Source organism: Homo sapiens, chromosome 4, assembly GCF_000001405.40.
Source record: "Homo sapiens chromosome 4, GRCh38.p14 Primary Assembly".
NCBI lineage: Eukaryota > Metazoa > Chordata > Mammalia > Primates > Hominidae > Homo > Homo sapiens.
In genome coordinates, this window is record NC_000004.12 from 76,094,696 (window position 1) to 76,117,811 (window position 23,116).

At 38.2% G+C, this 23,116-nt stretch overlaps 2 protein-coding genes across 54 annotated transcripts in view, besides 1 other annotated feature; one reads left to right on the forward strand and one right to left on the reverse strand.

Moving 5' to 3' along the window:
* Nucleotides 1–18,091, forward strand: part of ART3 (ADP-ribosyltransferase 3 (inactive)) — a 101,597-nt gene extending 83,506 nt beyond the window's left edge. For 10 of the 45 annotated variants that reach the window (XM_047415697.1, XM_047415696.1, XM_047415698.1 and 7 more), the window contains 7 exons: nucleotides 2,949–2,981; nucleotides 4,260–4,292; nucleotides 5,596–5,625; nucleotides 6,100–6,129; nucleotides 6,295–6,324; nucleotides 9,242–9,274; nucleotides 17,691–18,091. In XM_047415697.1, the coding sequence (XP_047271653.1) occupies nucleotides 2,949–2,981; nucleotides 4,260–4,292; nucleotides 5,596–5,625; nucleotides 6,100–6,129; nucleotides 6,295–6,324; nucleotides 9,242–9,274; nucleotides 17,691–17,824 (323 nt within the window). In that variant the 3' untranslated portion in view covers nucleotides 17,825–18,091. Of the gene's footprint in view, nucleotides 1–2,948; nucleotides 2,982–4,259; nucleotides 4,376–5,595; nucleotides 5,626–6,099; nucleotides 6,130–6,294; nucleotides 6,325–9,241; nucleotides 9,275–9,653; nucleotides 9,755–9,901; nucleotides 9,935–10,826; nucleotides 13,099–17,211; nucleotides 17,300–17,690 lie in introns of those variants that run through there. The other 35 variants (XM_047415700.1, XM_047415699.1, XM_024454063.2 and 32 more) reach the window with 23 other exon arrangements.
* Nucleotides 845–1,346: an enhancer, noted in NCBI's record as "NANOG hESC enhancer chr4:77016693-77017194 (GRCh37/hg19 assembly coordinates)". NCBI's record gives its function as "activates a minimal SCP1, AML or CMV promoter by ChIP-STARR-seq in naive H9 embryonic stem cells {active_cell/tissue: H9 hESC(naive)}" and the evidence as "EXISTENCE:reporter gene assay evidence [ECO:0000049][PMID:30033119]".
* Nucleotides 18,092–19,968: 1,877 nt separating the features above from the next.
* The window catches only part of NUP54 (nucleoporin 54), a 33,734-nt gene continuing 30,586 nt past the window's right edge, over nucleotides 19,969–23,116 (reverse strand). For all 9 annotated transcript variants that reach the window (NR_103781.2, NR_103780.2, NR_103782.2 and 6 more), the window contains 2 exons: nucleotides 22,969–23,079; nucleotides 19,969–20,799 (listed from right to left, as the gene is read on the reverse strand). Coding sequence is in view for 6 of the 9 variants with exons in the window: in XM_047415783.1 (XP_047271739.1) it covers nucleotides 20,671–20,799; nucleotides 22,969–23,079 (240 nt within the window). In the remaining 3 variants the exon portion in view is untranslated. The remainder of the gene's footprint in view (nucleotides 20,800–22,968; nucleotides 23,080–23,116) is intronic.

The following is a 23,116-nucleotide window of genomic DNA, read 5'->3' on the forward strand; positions in this document are numbered from 1 at the left end:
TTGACCTTGTGGGTTCTTTCTCTGGCCTTGGGTAGTTTTCTAACACATATAATCTGATCAGCACTCCACTGAATACTTGAGGGAAACCCTTTGCAGATCTCTGGAGTTCTCTGTTTGTGCCACTCCTTTCTCTCTGGTACTCTGTCTATAAAAATTGAATTATCTTGGTATATTCTTTCTGGAAAAATTTTAAACTACTTAAGGGTTGGTAAGTTAAATTTTTCTGGGAATTTGTCCATTTGCCTTTGTATTTCAAATTAGTAGGCATAAAGCTGTTCATAATATTCTCATATCTTTTTACATCTGCTGAATCTGTTGTTAGGTTTCCTTTTTCATTCCTTATATATTTATGCCTCTTCTTTTATTTCTGGACCAATTCTCTTATCCATTTTTAACCCTGCTATTTCTTTAGAAACTCAAAATAGTTTGATTACTGCTATTGAAAATGCTAAACAGAAGATTAAATCCAGAGTTTAAATAGGGAGGAGAAATGCAATCTTAACAAAATGACTCTGTGTTAAACATTAAAGAGGCCAGTACAGTGGCTCATGCTTGTAATCTCAGCACTTTAGGAGGATGAGGCAGGTGGATCATCCAAGGTCAGGAGTTCAAGACCAGCCTCGCCAACATGGTGAAACCCTGCCTCTATTAAAAATACAAAAATTAGCTGGATGTGGTGGTGGGTGCCTGTAATTTCAGCTACTTAGGAGGCTGAGGCAGGAGAATTGCTTGAACCCAGGAGGCGGAGGTTGCAGTGAGCCGAGATCGTGCCACTGCACTCCAGCCTGGGTGACAGAGCGAGACTCCATCTCAAAAAGAAAAAATAATAATAAATAAAGATACCCATTCTTTTCTATTCAGGAGGCCTTCAAAAATTTTGTGCATAAAAATCACTTGGAGTGCTTATTTAAAATGCAGATCACAAGGCATCCCCCTCTAGAAAGTATGTAGCAATAATAGTCCTGGCTATGGTCCTGGAATTTGCCTTTTTAATAAGCACCCAGGTGATTCTGAAGTATGTGGCTGGAAAACTACACTTTGAGAAACATGCTCTAACTTGTGCTACAGACAAAAGGCTTTTAAAATCCCCCTGGTGCCTGGTCCCCAGGCTGCACCTTTCAACTTACATCTGTAGCTTTCTTATCCACAATTCCCCTCACCTTCACCTTACCCTCAAATAAGCCCTCTGGATGAGGCTTGTACTCACTCATCTCCTGCTGAGACAACATTTTTTTTTTTCTTTTGAGACAGAGTTTTGCTCTTGTCACCCAGGCTGGGGTGCAGTGGCGCAATCTTGGCTCACTGCAAACTCTGCCTCCCATGTTCAAGTGATTCTCCAGCCTCAGCCTCCCGACTAGCTGGGATTATAGGCACGCACCATCACGCTGGACTAATTTTTGTATTTTTAGTGGAGACGGGGTTTCACCATGTTGGCCAGGCTGGTGTCTAACTCCTGACCTCAGGTGATCCACCCGCCCTTGGTCTCCCAAAGTGCTGAGATTACAGGTGTGAGCCACCATACCCTGAGACAACATTTTGTAATAATCTCTAGAACCAATTTTTAAATTTCTAGTCTAGTCAAATGCCTGAGTTTAGCCTCAGGGCACTGTCCAGATTCTAACACATCTGTTATTTCCTGGACCAGTAGAAAGTGGACCAAATCACCTGGGTTTTTGGTTCAGACACTCACTACAAATGGAGCAGGACTTGAGAGCAGATTATAGAAGTATATATCTTTTTTAGGAGCCAGGCCTCTCTAGGGATTCTCCTATTGTAGGTAAAGAGGCTCCTCCTCAGGTAGCTGAACTTCCAGATTAGATTAGTGTGTTCGCCAGGTATGAAGTAGAGACCACGAGGCATCTAGACCTTTGTTATGCATTCTGGTAGGCCTTCCGTATGGCTCATACTGCACCCAATCTGTATACTGTCTCACTAACCTTCTTACCTTACTGCTGTTGGCTGGTAGATTCCCCTTTCTGTCAAGTCTCAGGGGAATCACTGCAGTGCTGACAACTTTTTCTAGGGCATCACCAGTGAGAGCATCTAGGGCCTTTCAAAAAGTACTGTCAGATGCCACGTTCTGTTCTCCAAATATTGTGGATTTCCTCATATACAAATGAATATTCTGGGGCATGCCAACCCGTTTTCTTTATATGAATGTGAAGGATCTTTGTTCAAATGTTAAAGGATGTTGAAGGTCTGATTGAGATTCTTCTTCTTCAAAGGATAGGAATTGTTGTAGTAGAGGGATAGGTTTGCTGTTGAGGACGTTTAGTATCTGAAGAGAGGATTAATTGGACAGGTAAATTTTCTCCTAAATTTTGCCGACTAATTATAGAATAGAATGATAAGGTATTAGCCCTGGATGGGCCCTTGAAAGTCATTTGAAGCAGTCTCCTAGTAAAAGATACAGATAAGAAAACTGAATTCCGGAAAGCTTAGGTGTTTTGTCAGAGGTCATATGGCTGTTTGGTGGCTGTACTATAAATACTAAAATATAATTGTTCTGCAATTTTTTTAAATAATTGAGATAGGGTCTCACTCTGTCACCCAGGCTGGAGTGTAGTAGCATGATCACAGCTCACTGCAGCTTCAACCTCCTGGGCTCAAGCGATCCTCCCACCTGACCCTCCTGAGTAGCTGGGACTACAGGTGTGTGCCACCATGCCTGGCTAATTTAAAAAAAAAAATTGTAGAAATGGGGTCTCCCTATGTTGCCCAGGCTGGTCTTGAACTCCTGGGCTGAAGCGATCCTCCTGCATCAGCCTTTCGAAATGCTGGGGTTACAGGCATGAGCCACCATGCCCAGCCTGCAATTTGCATCTTACTAATTATGAGTCTGATAAACCAGGAGCTGACAGATTAGGTTACCAACAGCCATAGATTAATTGAAATATTTACTAGGGTATATTATGTCTAACTAATAAAGCTTTATCTTTGTGTTTCAGGACTAAAAACCGAAAACTGTATTGAGAACCTAGGTAAGATAGCTTTAAAGTCTTATCCCTATAATAGGAATTTTATCAGTTACTTCTCATAGCTATGGGTCAGAGCTACCCCACCACTGTACTGTCGTTCTGTCAAACATCATTTTCTCAAGGCTAAATTGTGCTACTACTGCTAGTACCTTTTCAGGTGGAGAGCCTAGGAGCCTTTGCTGCCAGTCCCCACTGCCACCCTCATCCCCACCCCAAGACTTGCCTGTGGCTCTTCTCTCAGACACTGCATTGGCCTGGGCATGAAGGGAACACGCCACTGTCATCTGAGCCTGACCTTATAGGAGTTTAAGGACTCCTTAATTCCCCTACATCTTCAGCCATTTCCCACTTGACTCCTATGCAAAGAGCTAGCTCCTGTTCCTGTATTTTGTTATCTTAGGAAATAACATTTGGGAGACCAATGAAGGAATGGCATGAATATAGGTCGAGGAAGGAGGAGAATGGGATGACAGAAGGGTAATGCGGTAGATTTTAACTTCCTCGGGGAAAAATAAGAGGATGTGACCAAAAAAAAAAAAAAAAATCTTTCTTAGAGGACTATGGGAAAGATTTGGGAAGGCAGACAGAAAATTCTAAGAGTATTAAGGAACAGCATTATCAAAGAGGCCTAATAAATTTGAATTAAAGATACCAAAAATGCCTTTGGATTAAGACATGCTCTGGGTGGATCCTTTTGAAGATTTCCTCATTAAAAAGTTTAAAAACATACCAAAGGTATCAGAAGAGAGAGAAAAAAAGTTCAAAAGCAAGGTTCTGTTTCTAGCTGTTTTTCTGGCTAGCTTTCCTGTGAATTTTTTTTTCATGTAACTTAAATGAATCCACATCCAGAGGCTGAGGCGGGTGGATTGCTTAAGGTCAGGAGTTTGAGGCCAGCCTGGGCAACATGTGAAACTGGCTCTACTAAAAATACAAAAATTAGCCAGGTGTGGTGGCAGGCGCCTGTAATCCTAGCTACTTGGGCGGCTGAAGCAAGAGAATTGCTTGAAACCCGGGAGGCAGAGGTTGCAGTGAGCCGGGATCGTGCCACTGCACTCCAGCCTGGGCGACAAAGCAAGACTCTTGTCTCAAAAAAATAAAAGTGAATTCACATCCATTTGTCTTTGAATTGAAATTTTATATCTGTTATAGTAACTGTATTTTTATGTTTCTTAAATATAAGCCAACACAATCTTTATTTTTAATGAACATTTAAAAATAGACTGATCCTGACATTCACATCTGAGCATAGTACCATGTAATGAAAACATGTCTGTATTTCAGAATATTTTCAACCCATCTATGTCTACAACCCTGGTGAGTATGTTCTAATTTTTAAAAATAATCTTGGTTGGGCATGGTGGCTCACGCCTGTAATCCCAGCGCTTTGGAAGGCCGAGGTGAGTGGATCACTTGAGCCCAGGAGTTTGAGACCAGCCTGGGCAACATGGCGGAACCCCATCTCTACAAAAAATACAAAACTTAGCCAGGCATGGTGGTGTGCACCTGTAGTCCCAGCTACTTGGGAGGCTGAGGCAGGAGGATCACTTGAGTCTGGGAGGCAGAGGTTGCAGTGAGCCAAGATTGCACCCACTGCACTCCAGCCTGGGTGACAGGGTGAAACTCTGTCTCCAAAGTTAATAATAATAATCCTTACCTGGATGTTTAATAGCTCTTTCTTGTTTAGCAAATGTATTTCTTAGCTGAAGAAAATTTGCAGATATAAAGCAGTGACTTGGCCTATATGAGAGGAAAAAAATAAAGAACCTATTCTAGGGAAATATACCTTCCTCAAATAAGAGAATTGGCTTCGTGGAGATCTGAACAATATGGAAATTTTCCGGGGAATACGGGTGGTGAGAATGAAGAGCTAGAGTCATTCTTGACCAGTTATGAGGGCTTCTTAGGTATAGCTCTGTATTCAGTCATTGAAATGAACCTGTGTGACTCCAAATACTCAGACAAAAATACAAAACTCAGCATGTTTGCATCTCTCAAATATGCAGATGCTTGATGTTTACTATGATTTAACTAAAATATGTAGGTGATTAGATGCTCTTAAAGTTTCCACTGAAGGATATATGGCCCAAATCATTTCTTTGCACATAAGTTCCTTATCATGTGTTTGGCTCATGTGGCTACAATAAATTTTTCTTTGTTGAAAAGAGAAGAGGTTCCAGCCTTTTTAAAACATGCAATTTATTTCATGTTTGGGAAAATACTTCCTGTCCTGATAGAAGTGAAGCACTTTATGCCTTGAAGACTTGCTTAGCAGCCCTTCTTTTTATTGTTCCGTTGCAGTCACAGGTTCTACTGATCACTTCCCAGGGACTTTAGCTGACTCTTCAACAAAGACATTTTCTCGGCTCCTTGAGATCCCTGGTAGACAAGCTATTTGTAATGACTTTTCTTAATAGTAGGGGCAGAGAATGTTCCAGCTCATTAGCCAAGGTACATTTAGACTGTGACCGACAACTTAAGTTTAGTAGGGTAGTTTCCTGGACGTATCAAATGGTTCTTTATAGTCATATTTCCTGAAAATAATTTTGCTGTAGCAATAGTAACTGCCAGTTCTTTTGTTCCATTGTTAAAACTGATGAACTTCTTTTCTGTGACTCAGGTGAGAAAAACCAGAAGCTTGAAGACCATAGTAAGACATTTTTATAAATTCTGGGGGCTTGGCCAGGCGTGGTGGCTTATGCCTGTAATCCCAGCACTTTGGGAGGCCGAGGCGGGAGGATCATGAGGTCAGGAGATTGAGACCATCCTGGCCAACATAGTAAAACCCCATCTTTACTAAAAATACAAAAATTAGCTGGGCGTGGTGGCACATGCCTGTAGTCCCAGCTACTCGGGAGGCTGAGGCAGGAGAATCCCTTGAACCAGGGAGCTGGAGGTTGCAGTGAGCTGAGATCGTGCCACAGCACTGTAGCCTGGAAACAGAGCGAGGCTCCGTCTCAAAAAAAAAAAAAAAAAAATTCTGGGGGCTTGCATTTTGCAAGATACCTCCCTTTACAGGTGGGAATATTTTCATATTTCTTGCAAATAATTTTGCTGTAGCTGTAGTAACTGCCAATTCTTTTGTTCCTTCGTTAAAACTGATGAGCTTCTTTTTGTGACTCAGGTGAGAAAAACTGGAAGCTTGAAGACCATGGTAAGACATTTTTTATAAATTCTGGGGGCTTACATTTTACAAGATACCTCCCTTTACAGGTGGGAATATTTTCATATTTACTGAAAATAATTTTGCTGTAGCTATAGTAACTGCCAATTCTTTTGTTCCATTGTTAAAACTGATAAGCTTCTTTTTGTAACTCAGGTGAGAAAAACCAGAAGCTTGAAGACCATGGTAAGACATTTATGTAAATTCTGGGGGCTTACATTTTGCAATATATCTCCCTTTACATGTGGGAACAGGGAAGAATGTCGTGGTAAGAAAAGTGGGAGGAAGGCAGAGCTCACCTTAGCTTACTGGTTTGGTATATTAGAGACTCTCCTGGGTTTCAGGTAGAATTCTTTAGAAAAATGACATAGCAGCTCTGTTTCTCCTGTCTAACAATCTTTAGGTCATCCCACCAAATAGAGGAAGGTGTGACTAATTATTCCCCACATTCTTGTGACCTCTAGGATATTGGGCAGGGCATAACAAATATTGTTTTTTCTAAATTAAAATGACTATTCTTTGTATTTATTTCTGTCACCAGCAATCTGATTAATATATGCCATTAGCTATATCCATTTGATTATTTAGTACATTCCAAGTGTAACTTATCCTCAAGTATTTGTTTTTGTTTTATTTTTAATATTACTCAAATGGCCGGGCGGGGTGGCTCACGCCTATAATCCCAGCACTTTGGGAGGCCAAAGTGGGCGGATCACGAGATCAGCCTGGCCAACATAGTGAAACCCCATCTCCACTAAAAATACAAAAATTAGCCGGGCATGGTGGCACACGCCTGTAGTCTCAGCTACTCAGGAGGCTGAGTCAGGAGAATCACTTGAACCTGGGAGGTGGAGGTTGCAGTGAGCCGAGATCGCGCCACTGCACTCTAGCCTGGGTGACAGAGTGAGACTCCATCTTGGAAAAAAAAAATTACTCAGATGTCCTCAAGGATACCGGGACAGGAACAGTCTCATAAATTACTGGCGAGATTATAAATTGGAACTTTTTTGGAGAGCAATTTAGTAGTATGTATTACTAGTCTTAAAAATGTTTGTACCTTTTGACTCGGTTATAACACTTTTGGATATTTGTCCCAAGGAAATTAGAGATGAACACAAAGATTTGTGTACAAAAATGCCTATCACAGTGTTATGGTAGTGTCAAAAGACAAAATTACAACAAATTTAAAGAGATCAATTGGCTTTATTTGAGATTCTAGAATTGGGCAACACTTTATTCCATAGAATAAGCATTCATTGAGCTGAGCACAGAAGTTTGGCTTTAAAGACAGAGAAGAGCCAAAGAAAGTGGAAGCAAAGAACAGAGTATATTAATTACTTTTAGACAGAACAGTAGAAAAATAACTGATTAGTTAACATCAGTTTATTTCAGGCTACCTTTTTTGTGTGTAAGGATTGAAGCATCGGGAACTTCATTTATCAAGCTGATTGAAGATTTTAAAATGGCCAATTTGGGAAATTCTGTTATTTCTTTCTCCTGATTTCTTAGAAGTTCAGACAACTTAGTTTAGATGATGTGGAACTTTAGCATGGGTGACTCCATTTCGATTTTTAGTCTGGTCTGTTGGGGCCTTCTGCAGAAACTTAGTCTGAAGCAATGGCCTCCTATAATTTTTATTTGACAGTAGCAAAAATTTAGAAACAACCTGTGTCCAACCATTGGGTATTGTTAAATAAAATATTACCTATATTATGAAACACTAAGCAACTTAAAAATCATGTTTTCAAAACCATCTAAAGATAGAAGAAAGTACTCTTAATACAATGGTAAATAATTGGATATAGAACTGCATATAGAGTATAATATTAACTTTTAAAAATGTATATGTATATATATGTATGCATAGCAAAATGATTGAAATACACCAGAAATGTTAAGAATGAGTAGAGTATTTCCGAGATCTGCAGTTTTAAGAGAACTTTAATTTTTAATAATTTTCTGTATTTTTCCAAATTATCTATAACGTATTATATAGTTAGGAAGCATATTTTATATATTACATATAATGCCAATTTTGGGTCGAGGTCTTTGGGTTGAATTTTTAAAAAACGAACAAGAGGTGCTTAACCTAGGAGAGATTCTGGGTCACTAGCCTTAGTTCTTATCATCAGTTAGGCTCCAGTGGGTTAAATCTCTTCTTTTTGTTACCTTGTCCTCTGCCATTTCTCAAAGCGTTCTGAGTTTTCTACTACAGAAGTCAAGTATAAGGTCAAATTAATTTTCAAGCTGATGGCATTTTTTTACTAAATAGTTCTTATTCTCGTCCTTAGGAATAAAAAGCCAGAGGCTCACTGTTTCACCTGGGAAATAATCTATTTACTGAGACTAGCTACATGGTTAGGAGACGATAAGGATTCCTAGGATTAAGAACATTGTGAAAAGCCAGCACGGTGGCTCACACCTATAATCCCAGCTCTTTGGGAGGCGTAGGCAGGAGAATCATAGTGAGTTATGATCGTGTCATTGTACCCCACCACAGCCTGAGCGACTCAGCGAGACCCTGTCTCTCAAAAAAGAAAAAAAAATATTACTGAGCCTGGAGAGTTTGAGGAATGAGTTAGACAAGAACAAAGGGACTTCATTTATTGAGTACCTTTTTTCGCTCCGTGCAGTGTACCAAGCACTTTTATGCAGTCTTTCCTTCAATCTTCACTAACTACAAACCTAAGAGGTAAATATTTCTCTTGCAAAGTGAGAAACTAAAGTTAGGAGGGATTAAGTAGTCTGCCCAAAGTCACAGAGCTAATAACTATAATTACGATAGAGCTAAACCAAGCAGAAATGTAAAACCAGTAGTGTTTCATCCAAAAACTGATATATTGGGACTGCCTTCTGAAGATAAAGCTGGAGAGACGGGTTAGATCGTGGAAGTTCTTGAAGTCCAGGCTAAGGAGTTTGGACTCTGTCACATGGAGAATGAAGAGCCATTGAAAGGTGTTTTTGTTGTTGCTGTTTCTTTTTTCTTTCCCCCTGCCTTTTTTTTTTTTTGAAAGTTGGAAATGGAGGAAATATAGACAAAAGAAGAGTATTAACAGTATAAGATAACTGATTAATACAAACCAATATTTATTTCTGCCTTTAGGTGTGAAAATCCTTGAACCCACCCAAATACCTGGTAAGACAGCTTTCTATTTACTCCCTGAGCCCAAGAATGAGTTGAGCAGGATTCCCAGGCATTTAAGAGAATACTGTCATGAGACTATTATTCATGAATATTTCCCTTATAGCTACCTGCCAGTCATCTACAAATATTTAGCTGGGGAAGCGTAGAGAAGTCTCTTTCCTCCTGTGCATTCATGTGCTCCTGGAGCATTGTCTCTGGGGCAGGAAAGTTAGTTCTGCTCTGGATGTTGCTGAGGGGAAGGCTCCTGGGATCTGGATGCATCAGTCCAACACCTTCCAGGTTCTACAGCTAAAGTTATTCAATAGAAACCTACCTTTACGCACAAGTTGACTGTTAGTCTTGGCTAACATCTCATTGCCTGTATCTCCAGGTAACAAAACACGATATTCTCCTGGCATAAACATGCTCAGTGAAGTGCTATGGCAGAAGACTCCTCTAATCATGGTGTGGATTTGTATAATAAGGGTTTACGTAAGCAGAACTTTTAAATAAAAAGCCAGAAACTATAGTGCATTGGGGCCTTGGGTGCTTGCATCTCTTAAGCTCAGCAGACAAGAGTTTGAAAATTATACTCAGTGGAGCAAACTGTAAGTCATTGGAAACTTCCTTCTCATTTAGGAATGAAAATTCCAGAACCTTTTCCACTACCTGGTAAGCAACTGATAGGCATGCCAGAGGGGAACATGCCAGTTTGGGGAGTACAGTCACCATTAGATATGCATGGGACTTTCTATGCCTCATAATTGTCATCTATCAAATGTAGCCATCAGTAGTCACATGTACATGACAGGAATATTTGTAAGGACTATAAAACCATGGAATCTCAGGGTGCAAGCCACTGTCCAATGCATAAATCCCTTTCTCCTGAGTTCATGTAGTACTTTGAAATATTTTTTTGCAGGTTTTGTTATTATGGAAATGATGATCTGTTAAGGAAATTAGATATTTGGCATCTTAAAAACTATATCCAGCCACACAGTGCTGAACTTCACGTAACGCTGCTGTCAATGGAAGCTGCGTGCTGTATAAAGAAACAGCGTTTTCCATTAGTTAAATAAAGGCTCAGAGAACATAGGCTCAGAGAAAAGGGTCCAGGACCTCTTTTATATTGACCCAAATTTGCACTGTTGGATTTATTTGGCCACAACTTTGAAGTGAACCTCTAGTGACACTGATGACACACCTTGTGCGTCTACATCTCTTCAGCTCGCTAGTCCTGAGTTTGCACAGTGCCATCATTGGGGTCTTGCTCATCTGGCTATCTGAAAGGCAGCCACCGAGCATGGTGGGAGATGAACATGAGCTGTGTAGACAGATAGACCTGGCTTCAGGAAGTCTCTGCCACTTTCCTCTGAGTAGCTTTATATAAGTTACTTCACTTTCTACGCCCCTGCTTTCACATCTGTAAAATGAGGAAAGCTTCTGTCTTGCAGGACTGATGAGATAAAGTACCTAGCAAAGTACCTAGCAAAATGAATGGTGGTAACATAGTAGTAAATGGTAGCTGCCTTTGTTATTATCTGAAAACCTCTTTCTTGTTTAGGAATAAAAATGATACAACTGAATGAAAAACCTGGTAATATATTCTTTATTGGGGGTGGAGGCACCATGGATTCTAAGTCCTTTACCATAATCATTCAGTTAGTTCAGTCTTATGGGGTCTGGGGAAGACATCTGGGCTGTACACTTTCCGATATCCCAGTCTGCAAGCCAGACAGGGAAAGTGTTGAGAATTTCTTTCAGTGTGAGCAGCAGGCTGCTATTACGGTTCTCTGGGCCAAACATCAAAAAAGGCACTTGATCTTAAACTGGAACAGTTGGCTTCCAGCTGGGCCTGTCTATTCCAGAATGAGGCAGGCTTCTCAGGGTGAAGGAATCTGTAGACATAGAAATAGCATCATCCAAGAACTGTGAATGAGGACTGTGCAGCATGCCAATACTGGGACCAGCCATTCTGTGTGCTCCTCACCACACTCTACAATCGTCCAGTAGGCCACTAGATTTTGTTGGGACTACAGTGTATTGTGCCCTCTCCTGGAAAGCTATGTGTAGCTTTTTAAAAGGTGATGTGAAAACAGTACACAGGAGCTCATTTAATCCAATACGATAAATATTATTGACACTTCAGAGATGAGAACATGGAACATAAGAAGGCTAACAAATTTATAATAGGCTAGAGACAACCAGGACTCAAACTTTTCAAGCTTTGTTCACTTTGTGCTACACTTGTCTTCCAAACAGATTTAGTTATCCACTTCTATCCTGGGCACCTAGAATTGGTATTTGGCTTCAAAGCTGTTAAAATATGGTAATATCATAATATTTCTATGCTAGGCACACACTTGGTAGTACAGATGGTCTCCAAGTTACAATGGTCAGTCTGTAAGAAACACGAAAAGGTGGCTTGCCAGTTAGGACAGATTTATTTTAGAGAAAACAAACTTGAGAGGCGCCTTCTGGCCGAGTTAGGTTAGAGGCCCACTTTTTTACAGACTAAGAGTTTTTAAGGATTTAGGGTGGGAGAGTTTATCAGCGGCTTGGACTGCTTCTGTGTCTCTTTGTTGTGCTTATCTGGGAGAGAGCGTTGTGTGTCTGTTCCCATACATCATTCTGCAGCTGCAGGCATATTCCCCAAGTCTGCTTTTAGCTTCCCTAACTTAGTGCACCTGAAGAGAAAGGAATGTGCTTATTAAGGCCCACTGTTTTACTGGGGCCCACTGTATGAGGGCGAAGTTTGGGAGTTACTCAAGAGACTTCCCCCCCACCTCCCTTTGTGCCCGAGCTGTTTTATCTGTGTTTTACTGTTTGCTCCTTCTGGCTGCTTGTAGTTAGAAGAGGTGATTTCCTTGAAATGCATGAGGCTAGAAAGGGAGCTCGAATTTAAAGTGGTGGTGTTTGTCCAAGATGACGGTGCTCCTGCTCTATCAGGTTCAACTTGGGATTTTTTGATTTTGCAATGGTCTGAAAGCCATACACATTCAGTAAAAACCATACTTCAAGTACCCATACCGTTCTCTTTTTCACTTTCTGTACAATATTCAATAGATTACATGAGACATTCAATATTTTATTATAAAATAAGCTTTATCTTAGCTGATTTCGCCCAACTGCAGGCTCATGTAAGTGTTCTGAGCACGTTTAAGGTAGGCTAGGTTAAGCCATGATGTTCTGTAGGTTGGGTGAGTTAAATGCATTTTTGACTTATGGTATTTTCAGCTTACATTGGATTTATTGAGACACAACCCCATCATAAGTCGAGAAGCATCTGTATAGCATAGTAATTCAGAGCAAATTTGAAATTAGATATTTCTAGCACCAGTTACCCCCGTGATTTTATGCATGGCATTCCTCAAAACATTTCATAAATGTTTTAAGGAATATCTGTGAAATATGGATAATTATACCTGGCTAATAAGACTAAGAAGTAAAGGTGACAGTGTACATAAAGCATTTGCACAATGCATGGCACATAGTGAACACTCAATAGTAGGTATTAATGTACTTGGGAATCTAAGTTCAATATGTAGAAAATACTTTTTGTGAATAAAATTTTAACTTTTATTTTTATGTAAACACATATTGATGGGAAAAAAAATTCAAAGAGCACAGATGAGAACAAATTAAACCCTTCCCCTAACCCCACACATACCCGTAAACCTATTACCCTGCCCCTCAGACCCACTCACAGAGATAACCAAGTTTGCTTAATTTTTAATCAGATCTTTCTTTTCTGGATAAACAGATATACAATATAACTAACTCAAAATCTCTTTATATTTTAGAAGATAAAAGTCAAGGAAATATCAACAATCCTAGTAAGAAGTATCTCATTTCCTCAGTTGATAAATGCCTGCTTCTGTAATATAGAAAAAGTGAGAAATTTATTTTTCCTCAATAAAGGGAACAAAGTTGCAAGGTTTTAAGGCATCTTAATAACAGAGTATAATGTCATATCCAAAAGCTTGTGTGTGCATGTGTGTGTTGGGGACAATATAGCTTTGTTTTTTCGATAATCGTTTTCCATTGTATCTAGAGTTTCTACTCTTAGAACAGTGGTTCTTACCAGTCTGAAGACTGGGAGCAAAATATAAAAATAAAAAAGAAAATATATATTAAAAAAAAAAAGAACAGTGGTTCTCAACCCAATTCTCCCTTTATAACAAGTATTTTATAAAGTCCTTATATTATCCAGAAAGAAGATCCATAGATGAGATGCATTTGTACCCATAAAAATCAACATCATGTCTAAAGTAGACCGATGTTTACATTTATGCAAATAAATTTGGGTTGAAGAGAAGATTGGAAGCTATTCTATACAGGAAGTATAAGAAAATGGAGTGAAGAAATAGAGTAGATACTAAATAAAAACTGATGTTTAATGTTTATCAAAACTATTAAAAATATACATAAAACTGCTTTAGGTTCTGAGTTTGATTATTTTAAATAGGTTTTAACTTACATGTATGTCTAGCAGTACATTTTAAAGTTGTGCAGGAAGTTGGTCAATTTTTCATGGTCCAGAACTAGAGCACTGCAGGATATCTATCCCTCTACCTCCACTCCACTGTTAGCAATGATTAAAAAAAAAAACAAAAAACTCTTGACAATCGTCCAAACTGCCTCTTGGGGCAGTAATGCCCCCCTGAGAACCACTGGTCTGTGGTAACATACAGTCATGCATTGCTTAACAAGATGGGGTATGTTCTGATTAATGTGTTAAGTGATTTTGTCGTTGTGCAAACATCATAGTGTGTACTTACCCAACCCTAGATGGTATACCCTGCTACACATGTAGGCTACATGGTATAGCCTACTGCTCCTAGGCTATAAACCTTTACAGCATGTTATTGTGTTGAGTACTGTAGGCAGCGGTAACACAGTGGTAAGTATTTGTGTATCTAAACATAGAAAAGTTATGGTAAAAATATAAAAGATAAAAAATGGTACAGGTGTATAGGGCACTTAACATGAATGGAGCTTGTAGGCCCAGAAGTTGCTCTGGGTGGTGTTGAGCGGATGTGAAGGCCTGGGACACTACTGTACACTCCTGTAGACTTTATACATACTATACAGAGGCTACACTAAATTCATAACAAATTTTCCTTCTTCAATAGTAAATTAACCGTAGCTTAATGTAACTGTTTTACTTTATAAACTTAATTTTAATCTGACTCTTTTGTAATAACACTTAGCTTAAAACACACATTGTACAGTAGTACAAAAATATTTTTTCTTTATATCCTATTCTATAAAGCTTTTTTATCACCTTTTTTTTTAACTTTTTAAACTTTTGTTAACAACTAAGACACAAACATTTACATTAGCCTAGGCCTATACAGGGTCAGGATCATCAATATCACTGTCTTGCACCTCCACATCTTGTTCCACTGGAAGGTCTTCAGGGGTAGTAACGTGCATGGAACTGTCACCTCCTATGATAATGCCTTCTGGAGTAGCTCCTGAAGGACCTGCCTCAGGCTGTTTTATAGTTAACGTTTTTTAATAAGTTGAAGGAGTACAGTCTAAAATAATGATTAAAAGTATAGTAAGTACATAAAACAGTAACATAGTTGTTTATTATCAAATGTTATGTATTATATATAATTGTATGTGCTATACAGTTATACAACTGGCAGTGCAGTAGGTTTATTTACACCATCATCACCCCAAACACGTAATATGTTACAACGGCAACGATGTTGCTAGGCAGTAGGAAATTTTCAGCTCTATTATAATTATAGTCTTATGGGATCTCTGTCATACATGTGGTCTGTCATTGATGGAAACATCATTATGCATTGCACGACTGTACTAATGCATGTGTGCATCTGCCTATCCACTTCTCTGTGTGTATACATCCAACTGCATGTTTATAACTATGGCAAGTACATTGATAATATGAAGGCTTTTACAAATCTGACTGGCTATTTTTCTTGGTTTTATTTATGAAATCTGAGTGGTGATCCCATTTGGATACTTCCAGTCAACGCTTCCCCGTAGTTCAAACAAAAAGAGTTTAGGTCAGCATGAAACAGTTTATCCTGTGGATGGACTCCACTGCTCCTCTCCACTAGTTCAAATGAAAGGGAAAGAGTTTCTCCAGCAGTGTATGTATGGAGGGAAAAACATTTATTTTTTTTTTATCATCTTGCAGAGATTAGTGTTTAAAAAACAATGCAGCTATAGTTAGCCCTCTGTATCCTCTGGGATTCAACCAACTGTGGATCGAAAATATTTGTGGGAAAAAATAATACAAATTTAAAAACCCATACAGTACAACAACTACTTGCATTTCATTTACATTGTATTAGGTATTATAAGAAATCTAGAGATAGTATAAGGTATACAGGAGGATGTGTGTAGGTATATGCAAATACTGTGTATGCTATTTTATTTATTTATGTATGCTATTTTATATAAGGGACTTGAGCATCTGTGGATTTTGGTATCCTCAGGGGTTCTAGAACCAGTCCCCAAAGGATACTGAGGGATGACTGTATATCCAGTTGTATGTTGGTGGTTATCTTGTTTGAAATAGAAGACACACAGAGTTAAACTTTACCTTGCATGTATATACAGAAAATGGAAATAGAAAAATTGCTAAAAAAAAATGCTAGAGAACTTGAACAACAGAAAATCATTATATTGGCTATATAGAAATGTAAAAGCATGTGAAATCCTACATAAAACCTAGCGTAGCAGATCTTGATGATATATAGTCGACCCTTGAACAACACAGGTTTGAACTGCATGGGTCCACTTATACATGGATTTTTTTTAAATAAATATATTGGAAATCTTTTTGGATATTTGCATCAATTTGAAGAAACTTGCAGACAAACTGCATGACCTAGAAATATATATATATATAAAAAGAAAGTATGTCATGAATGCATAAAATATATGTAGATGCTAGTCTATTTTTATCATTTACTACCATAAAACATACACAAATCTATTGTAAAACGTTAGTATTTATCCAAATTTGTGCACACAGACCATATGTGGCACCATTCAAAATCAAAAGAAACGTAAATGTAAAGATGCGGTATTAAAACTTAACTGCATAAAATTAACTATAATACATACTGTATCATTGTAATCATTTCATGGCCACCTCCTGTTGCTATTGCAGTGAGTTCAAATGTTTCGAGTATCCTCTTAAAACACCATGTGTTGCTAAACATCTCTGAGGAGTTCATCTCCAGTAAATTGCACATCACAGCAAAAAGTGATCTCTCACAGTTCTCCTGTATTTTTTGTCATGTTTGGTGCAATACCAAAAACCTTGAATAACACCATAGGACTCAAAGGAAGTGCCACTAGTGAGGCCGGAAGTCTCACAAGCAGAGAGAAGCCATGACATTACAAGAAAAAGTTGAATTGCTTGATATATAGATTCAGGTCTGCAGCTGCAGTTGCCAGCCATTTCAGACAGATAATTCATCTTATAAACAGATGATGTAAACTTTGGGTATTAGTAAATACAGTACAGTACTGTAAATGTGTTTTCTCTTCCTTATGATTTTAATATTTTTTCTCTATTTTATTGTAAAAATACAGTTTATTTATTTATTTATTTGAGCTGGAGTCTTGCTCTATCACCCAGGATGGAGTGCAGTGGTGCAATCTCTGCTCACTGCAAGCTCTGCCTCCCAGGTTCACACCATTCTCCTGCCTCAGCCTCCTGAGTAGCGGGGACTACAGGCGCCCGCCACCACGCCCGGCTAATTCTGTATATTTAGTAGAGACGGGGTTTTGCCGTGTTAGCCAGGATGGTCTCGATCTCCTGACCTCATGATGTGCCTGCCTCCGCCTCCCACAGTGCTGGGATTACAGGCGTGAGCCACCACGCCCAGCCAAAATACAGTATATAATACATTTACAAAATATGTGCTAATCAATTATTTTTATCTTTTTAAAAATAGAGATGGGGTCTCGCTATGTTGCCCAGGCTCAAACTCCTGGTCTCAAGTGGTCCTCCTGCCTTGGCCTCCTAAAATGCTGGAATTACAGGTGTGAGCCACCATGCCCCAACCAGAATACAGTATATAATACATATAACATATAAAATATGTTAATCAACAATTTCTATTATCAGTAAGGCTTCCAGTTAATGGTAGGCTATTAGTAGTTAAGTTTTTGGGAATCAGGTTACATGTAGGTTTTCATTGTGTGGGGGTTGGCACCCCAACACCCGTATTAAGGGTCAACTGTATATGGAAATATAGCCTGAAATCTGTAATGAATTACACTTATTTGAAAATTGCTTTTGGCTGGAAGTATTTCAGGTAAGTTTCTACTTCAACTTTAGTGTCATTGTTTACATATTCAGGATATATTTTATAGGTGGATGATACTTGACATAAAAAATGATGTGTCAGTGACTGTGTATTCTTGTTAACAGCTCCAGGTCCAGTTCCTGTTCCAGGTCCCAAAAGCCATCCTTCTGCATCCTCGGGCAAACTGCTGCTTCCACAGTTTGGGATGGTCATCATTTTAATCAGTGTTTCTGCTATAAATCTCTTTGTTGCTCTGTAGTTTGATGCATTGTTTATCTTTCTTATTCTTTACTTGAAATAACTATAGGGATCCACAGGAGATCAAAAGGAATGATGTATTTTTTACGTGTTGGCCAAAGTCACTGGATAAAATGAGAATTGTATATTTGTTATTCATTTTGCAAATTCAGAAAGTTGGTCCAGATATATGTCACAGAACTTTTCACTTGTATACTACTCTTACAATGGAAAAAAATCCCGAAAACTGTATACTTCTGATTAAATTCAATAAAAGATTTTGATTAGATATTTCAGAATTGCCAGTATGCTCAATACTGTTAGTGTTTAACATCAATTTAATATCTGAATTAGAACTTTAAGGATAGTCTACTCATCTCTTTGTCTTAGTCTGTTTGGGTTGCTGTAACAGACCACTGTAGACTAGGTAACTTGTAAGCAACATTTATTTATTTCTCACAGTTCCAGAGGCTGGGAAGTCCAAGATCAAGGTGCCAGCAGACTTAGTTTCTGGTGAGTGTCCTCTTCCTTGTCCTTTCCTCACCATCTCACATGGCAGAAGGGACAAGAGAGATAGAGCACTAATCCCATTCATGAAGGCTCCACCCTCATCATGACCTCCCAAAAGCCATACCTCCTAAAATCACCATATTGAGTGTTAGGATTTCAAGATGAATTTTTTGAGAACACAAACTACTCAGTCTATAACACTTGCTTCGATAACTGAGTCTAGTTATCTCACCAGTTATATGCTCAAGGACCACAGGCCTGCCTTATATATGCAGTCACCAGTGGGACAGAAACCCAACAGGATGACTGGGCCTGCCTTTTTAAAAGGCTGACCTTAGGCCCTGTCTGGTATATTTATCTGGTTGAACTAGCAACCAGCAATATTAGAACATGAAAAATCAAAGGCTAGAGAAGCGACCATGGTATGCATGATGAGTGATCCATCCACTAGATTATATAGCTCAGTGAGTAACAATTCTCATCAATTAGACCAACAACTCTTCCTACTATAAGGGGGTGTGCAGAGGGACAAAAACTCCTATACTTGGCTACATGGGTAAGAATGATGGACATGCAGATCTTCTGGGCCACGGAGAAAATGTGGACAAGGCAAGAAATTCCTGTCCCAACACTGTTGGTATTGCAATATAATGGGTAGGAAAGAATGATGAGAGGGTAGTAGAGTAGTGTAACAAATTTACACACCATAAACTTGGCAAAAGTAGCTGCATACTTCTGGCAGTCAATTTGGAAAGAAACAATCAGTTTTAAAGTTCCTAGTCTTGGCCAGGCATGGAGGTTCAGGCCTGTAATCCTAGCACTTTGGCAGGCCAAGGTAGGAGGATTGCTGGAGTCTAGGAGTTCAAGACCAGCCTGGGCAACATAACAAGACCCCATCTCTACACAAAATAAAAAATAATAGCCAGTTGTGGTGGTGCATGCCTGTAGTCCCAGCTACTCAAGAGTCTGAGGTGGGAGGACTGCTTAAACCCAGGAGGTCAAGGCTGCAGTGAGTCGTGATTGTGCCACTGTACCCCAGCCTGGGTGACAGAGAGACTTGTCTCAAAAAAAAAAAAAAAAAAAAAAACCCACAAAAAATCCTAGTCTACACAACTGTAACCTATACAACTGAGGAGAAATCTCTTCAGTGGATTCTCAGAGGATGGACTCCAGATAGATATACAGTGCATCACACTCTTCACCATCCCCATAGTAAATACAATAGCAAGATTCATGGGCCTGTTTCTTCTAACACCTGTCAATACAAGCCAAAGCATCACAGAGAAGTGCAAAGTTAAAGCATCTCAAAAGCGGCCAACATGATGCAGCCCAAATATAGTGTAGTCAGAAATACTGTTTAAAATGATCCACTGGTTAAAGACCCACTATTTAACACTACTTAATCTGTTTAACTCAGATTTTCTAGTATTTCGAATACTAATGACATATTAGGGAATTCTTAATACTAGATGATATCTGAAGTAAGTTTTACTTGCCATACCCTAATCAAAATATAACAGCACTGACAAAAATCCCTAGGAGGCAAAAATAAGACTTAAGACTAAAATTCCTGACTTGTGATTATGAATTTAGTACCTATGTGGACAAAAAATGGTCATTCCTCAAAAGCCAAATAAAGCACCAGACAGAATTATATAAAAGTAATTACAAATTAAGAATTTATTTATAAGTTTTCATCTTTTTAGAAATAAAAAGGCTTAAAAAACAAAATGGTTGCAAAAATGGTTAAGTAGTTTTGTTATATCCTAATTGCTTAGGTGTGCTCTGTAAATTCCAAATAAGTAAAATAATATAAAAATACATTTTCATATCTTTATAGAACAAAAACAAAACATTAAATGCTTTTGGATTTTCTTTACTCCTCCCACAGATGAGTTCACAAATACAAAAACTGGTGTACATTTATACTCAAGTACAAATCTCCAACAGCCAAGTAATTATAGTTTGTTCTGTTATGTGCAAAGTAGATTATTTCATATTTACTTGGTATGGAAAGCAGAGTACAGGCTCAATGGACAATAATCATTAAACACAGATTATGTTTAAGAAAATGCTGTTGTAAAAATGTACAATAGTACATACAATTTTGGTAATTATGCACTTCTTTTAAAGTAAATACAGCTTTTAGATATAAATCTTTCAAAGGTTTTCTTTGAAGAGCTGTGAGGTGACTATTTCAGATTTGATGAACAGTAATTTGTCAGTAAACTTCTCAAAAAACCAATCCAAGAAAGAATTGTTTTCTTTTTCCCTCCATGTGGTCGGTTTCATTCTTAAGGAAGGTCTGATGCAGTAAGAAGATGCATTTCACAAACCTTTACACAAGTTTGTGAACTGTCAACTAAAGACACCACCTCTGATGTGGATGGTTTCATTCAATCCATGTTCGACCAGCTTTATATCTTCTAGATCGTCTTTAATGATGCTAATCAAATGGCTAAGGCCTTCCTGTTGTTGTTTCAAATGCTAGAACAAATTAAGAAACAACATATTAATGTATTAATTTCTTAAAACTGCAAGCTAGTCACAGGAAAAAAGACTCCACTTTGACTATTTTACTAGCAACACAGTACCTAGTAAGTGCTCTAAATATAGAGGGCATGCATATTTAAACATTTGTACTACATCTTTTGCTAACAGTGAAAGACAAACTCTAAAGAACAATAAAATCAAACAAATATATAATGAACAATATCTTCCAACAAAAATGTTTTTTAGATAGCTATTCCTTTTACCAACTTTTGATAAAGGCATGATAATAAAACAGAACTCAAAGGAGGTATTCAAATATAGATGACTAGCAAAATAACATTCTGAAAACTGAGAATATTCATGTTTTGAAGTACAAAGTACATAGTGATAATGGTGGTGATGACTACAGATGCTAACATTTTTTTAAGACTCCTCCTCATGGGTTAAGGTGCTGTTTTAACAGTACTGGTATTCACTCACTTAACTCATTTAAAATCCTTTTGAGCCCCCTTTGGGGTACCATTATCATCTCGACAGTTAAAGAAACTACAGGTAAATAACCTGCCCAAGGTCATAAAGTAGATGGTGAACCATGATTCAATCCCAAAACAATACACTGCTCATAATTTTAAAAAAGACAGGTGTTTAAATTATTCCCAGTTTTATTGCATATATCAACTCTATTTAATACAACTATTTATTTCAATATACTGGAACCTGTTAATTTATTGCAAATACTTAAAACAATGGAATATAATTGGTTATGTGTGTAATATCCAAGAACCTGGAAGCCAAAGTAGTTTTTGGTTGCATAAAACCAGCCATATCCATTCTAACATAATAAAATTGGATTTGTTGATGACATTTATAATCTTTATCTAAAATCCTCAGGGCCATGCCAACAGTCATTAGCTACCTAGTATGTTCCACAAAGTTCATCATCTTCATATATTTTCTTTAGATACAACTGTTCATTTTCATTAAACCAATCTGCATTTATACTAATGAAAATAAGCCAAAGCAGTGTTTCCCAACTTTTTCACACAATGTGAAAACCCTAGAAAAGTGGTTGGAGGTTCTGGCCACCTCAACCTACCTCCATCCAGATCTCCTGAGAGCTTAGGGGACAGATCAATAACCAAATGTTTATAACTTACATGCGACATATAGGCAGGGAAGGTATTATCTAGAGCAGTTGCTTCTCAAACTTTAAAGTGCATACAAATCATTCTATGATCTTGATAAAATGCAGATTGAGTACGTCTGGAGTAAGGACTGAAATTTTGCATTTCTAATGACCTTCCAGGTGCGGCTACTACCTACACTTTAAGGAGCAAGGTCTAGGAAACTTTAGTGTCTCTACTACCTCTAAATTCATCTTTTTGGCGAGGAGAGGGATAATTCACTTTTTTAAACAGTGGCAAAACAGGCATACCATAAAATTTTGCCTGTAACTATTTTTAAGTATACAGTTCAGTGGCATTAGGTACATTTATGCTGTTGTGCAATAATCAACACTATCCACTTTGTTTAGAACTTTTCATCTTCTCAAGTTGAAATTCTGTACCAGTTAAGTTCCTCCCATCCCCTCCTCCCCTCACACCCTGGCAACCACCTTTCTACTCTCTATTAATTGGACTACTAGGTACTTTTCATAAGTGAAATCATAAATATTTCCCTTTTATGAGTGGCTTATTTCATGAAGCATAACTTCTTCAAGGTCAAATTGCATTGTAGCATGTGTCAGAATTTCATTCTTTTTTCAAGGCTGAATAATATTCCATTGTGTGTCTATATACTACATTTTGTTTCTCTATTCTTTGATTGATTCTTGGGTTATCTCCACATTTTGACTATTGTGAATAAAGATGCTATGAACATGGGTGTACAAATATGTTTTGAGTCCCTGCTTCCAACGTACTTGGGTATATATCCAGAAGTAGACCTGCTAGATCATATCGTAATTCTATCTTTAATTTTTTGAGTAAACACTACACTGTTTTCCATAGAGGCTGAACCATTTTACATTCCCCCAACAGTGCAAGAAAGTTCCAATTTCTCCACATTCTCACTAACACTTTTCTTATTAGGATAATAGCCATCCTAATAGGTGTGAAGTGGTGAGCTCACACTTTAAATAATGCAGCCTCATGCAACACTTACCTGCTTGATTTCTCGTAACAGATCTGCATCTATGTAATACCTTTCTTCAGATCTGACTGCTCCAAAATGATTCTGCATCCTGATTTGAGACATCAATTCATTTAGTCGGCCCTAAAAGTTAAGACTGAGTCAAATTACAACTGCCGAC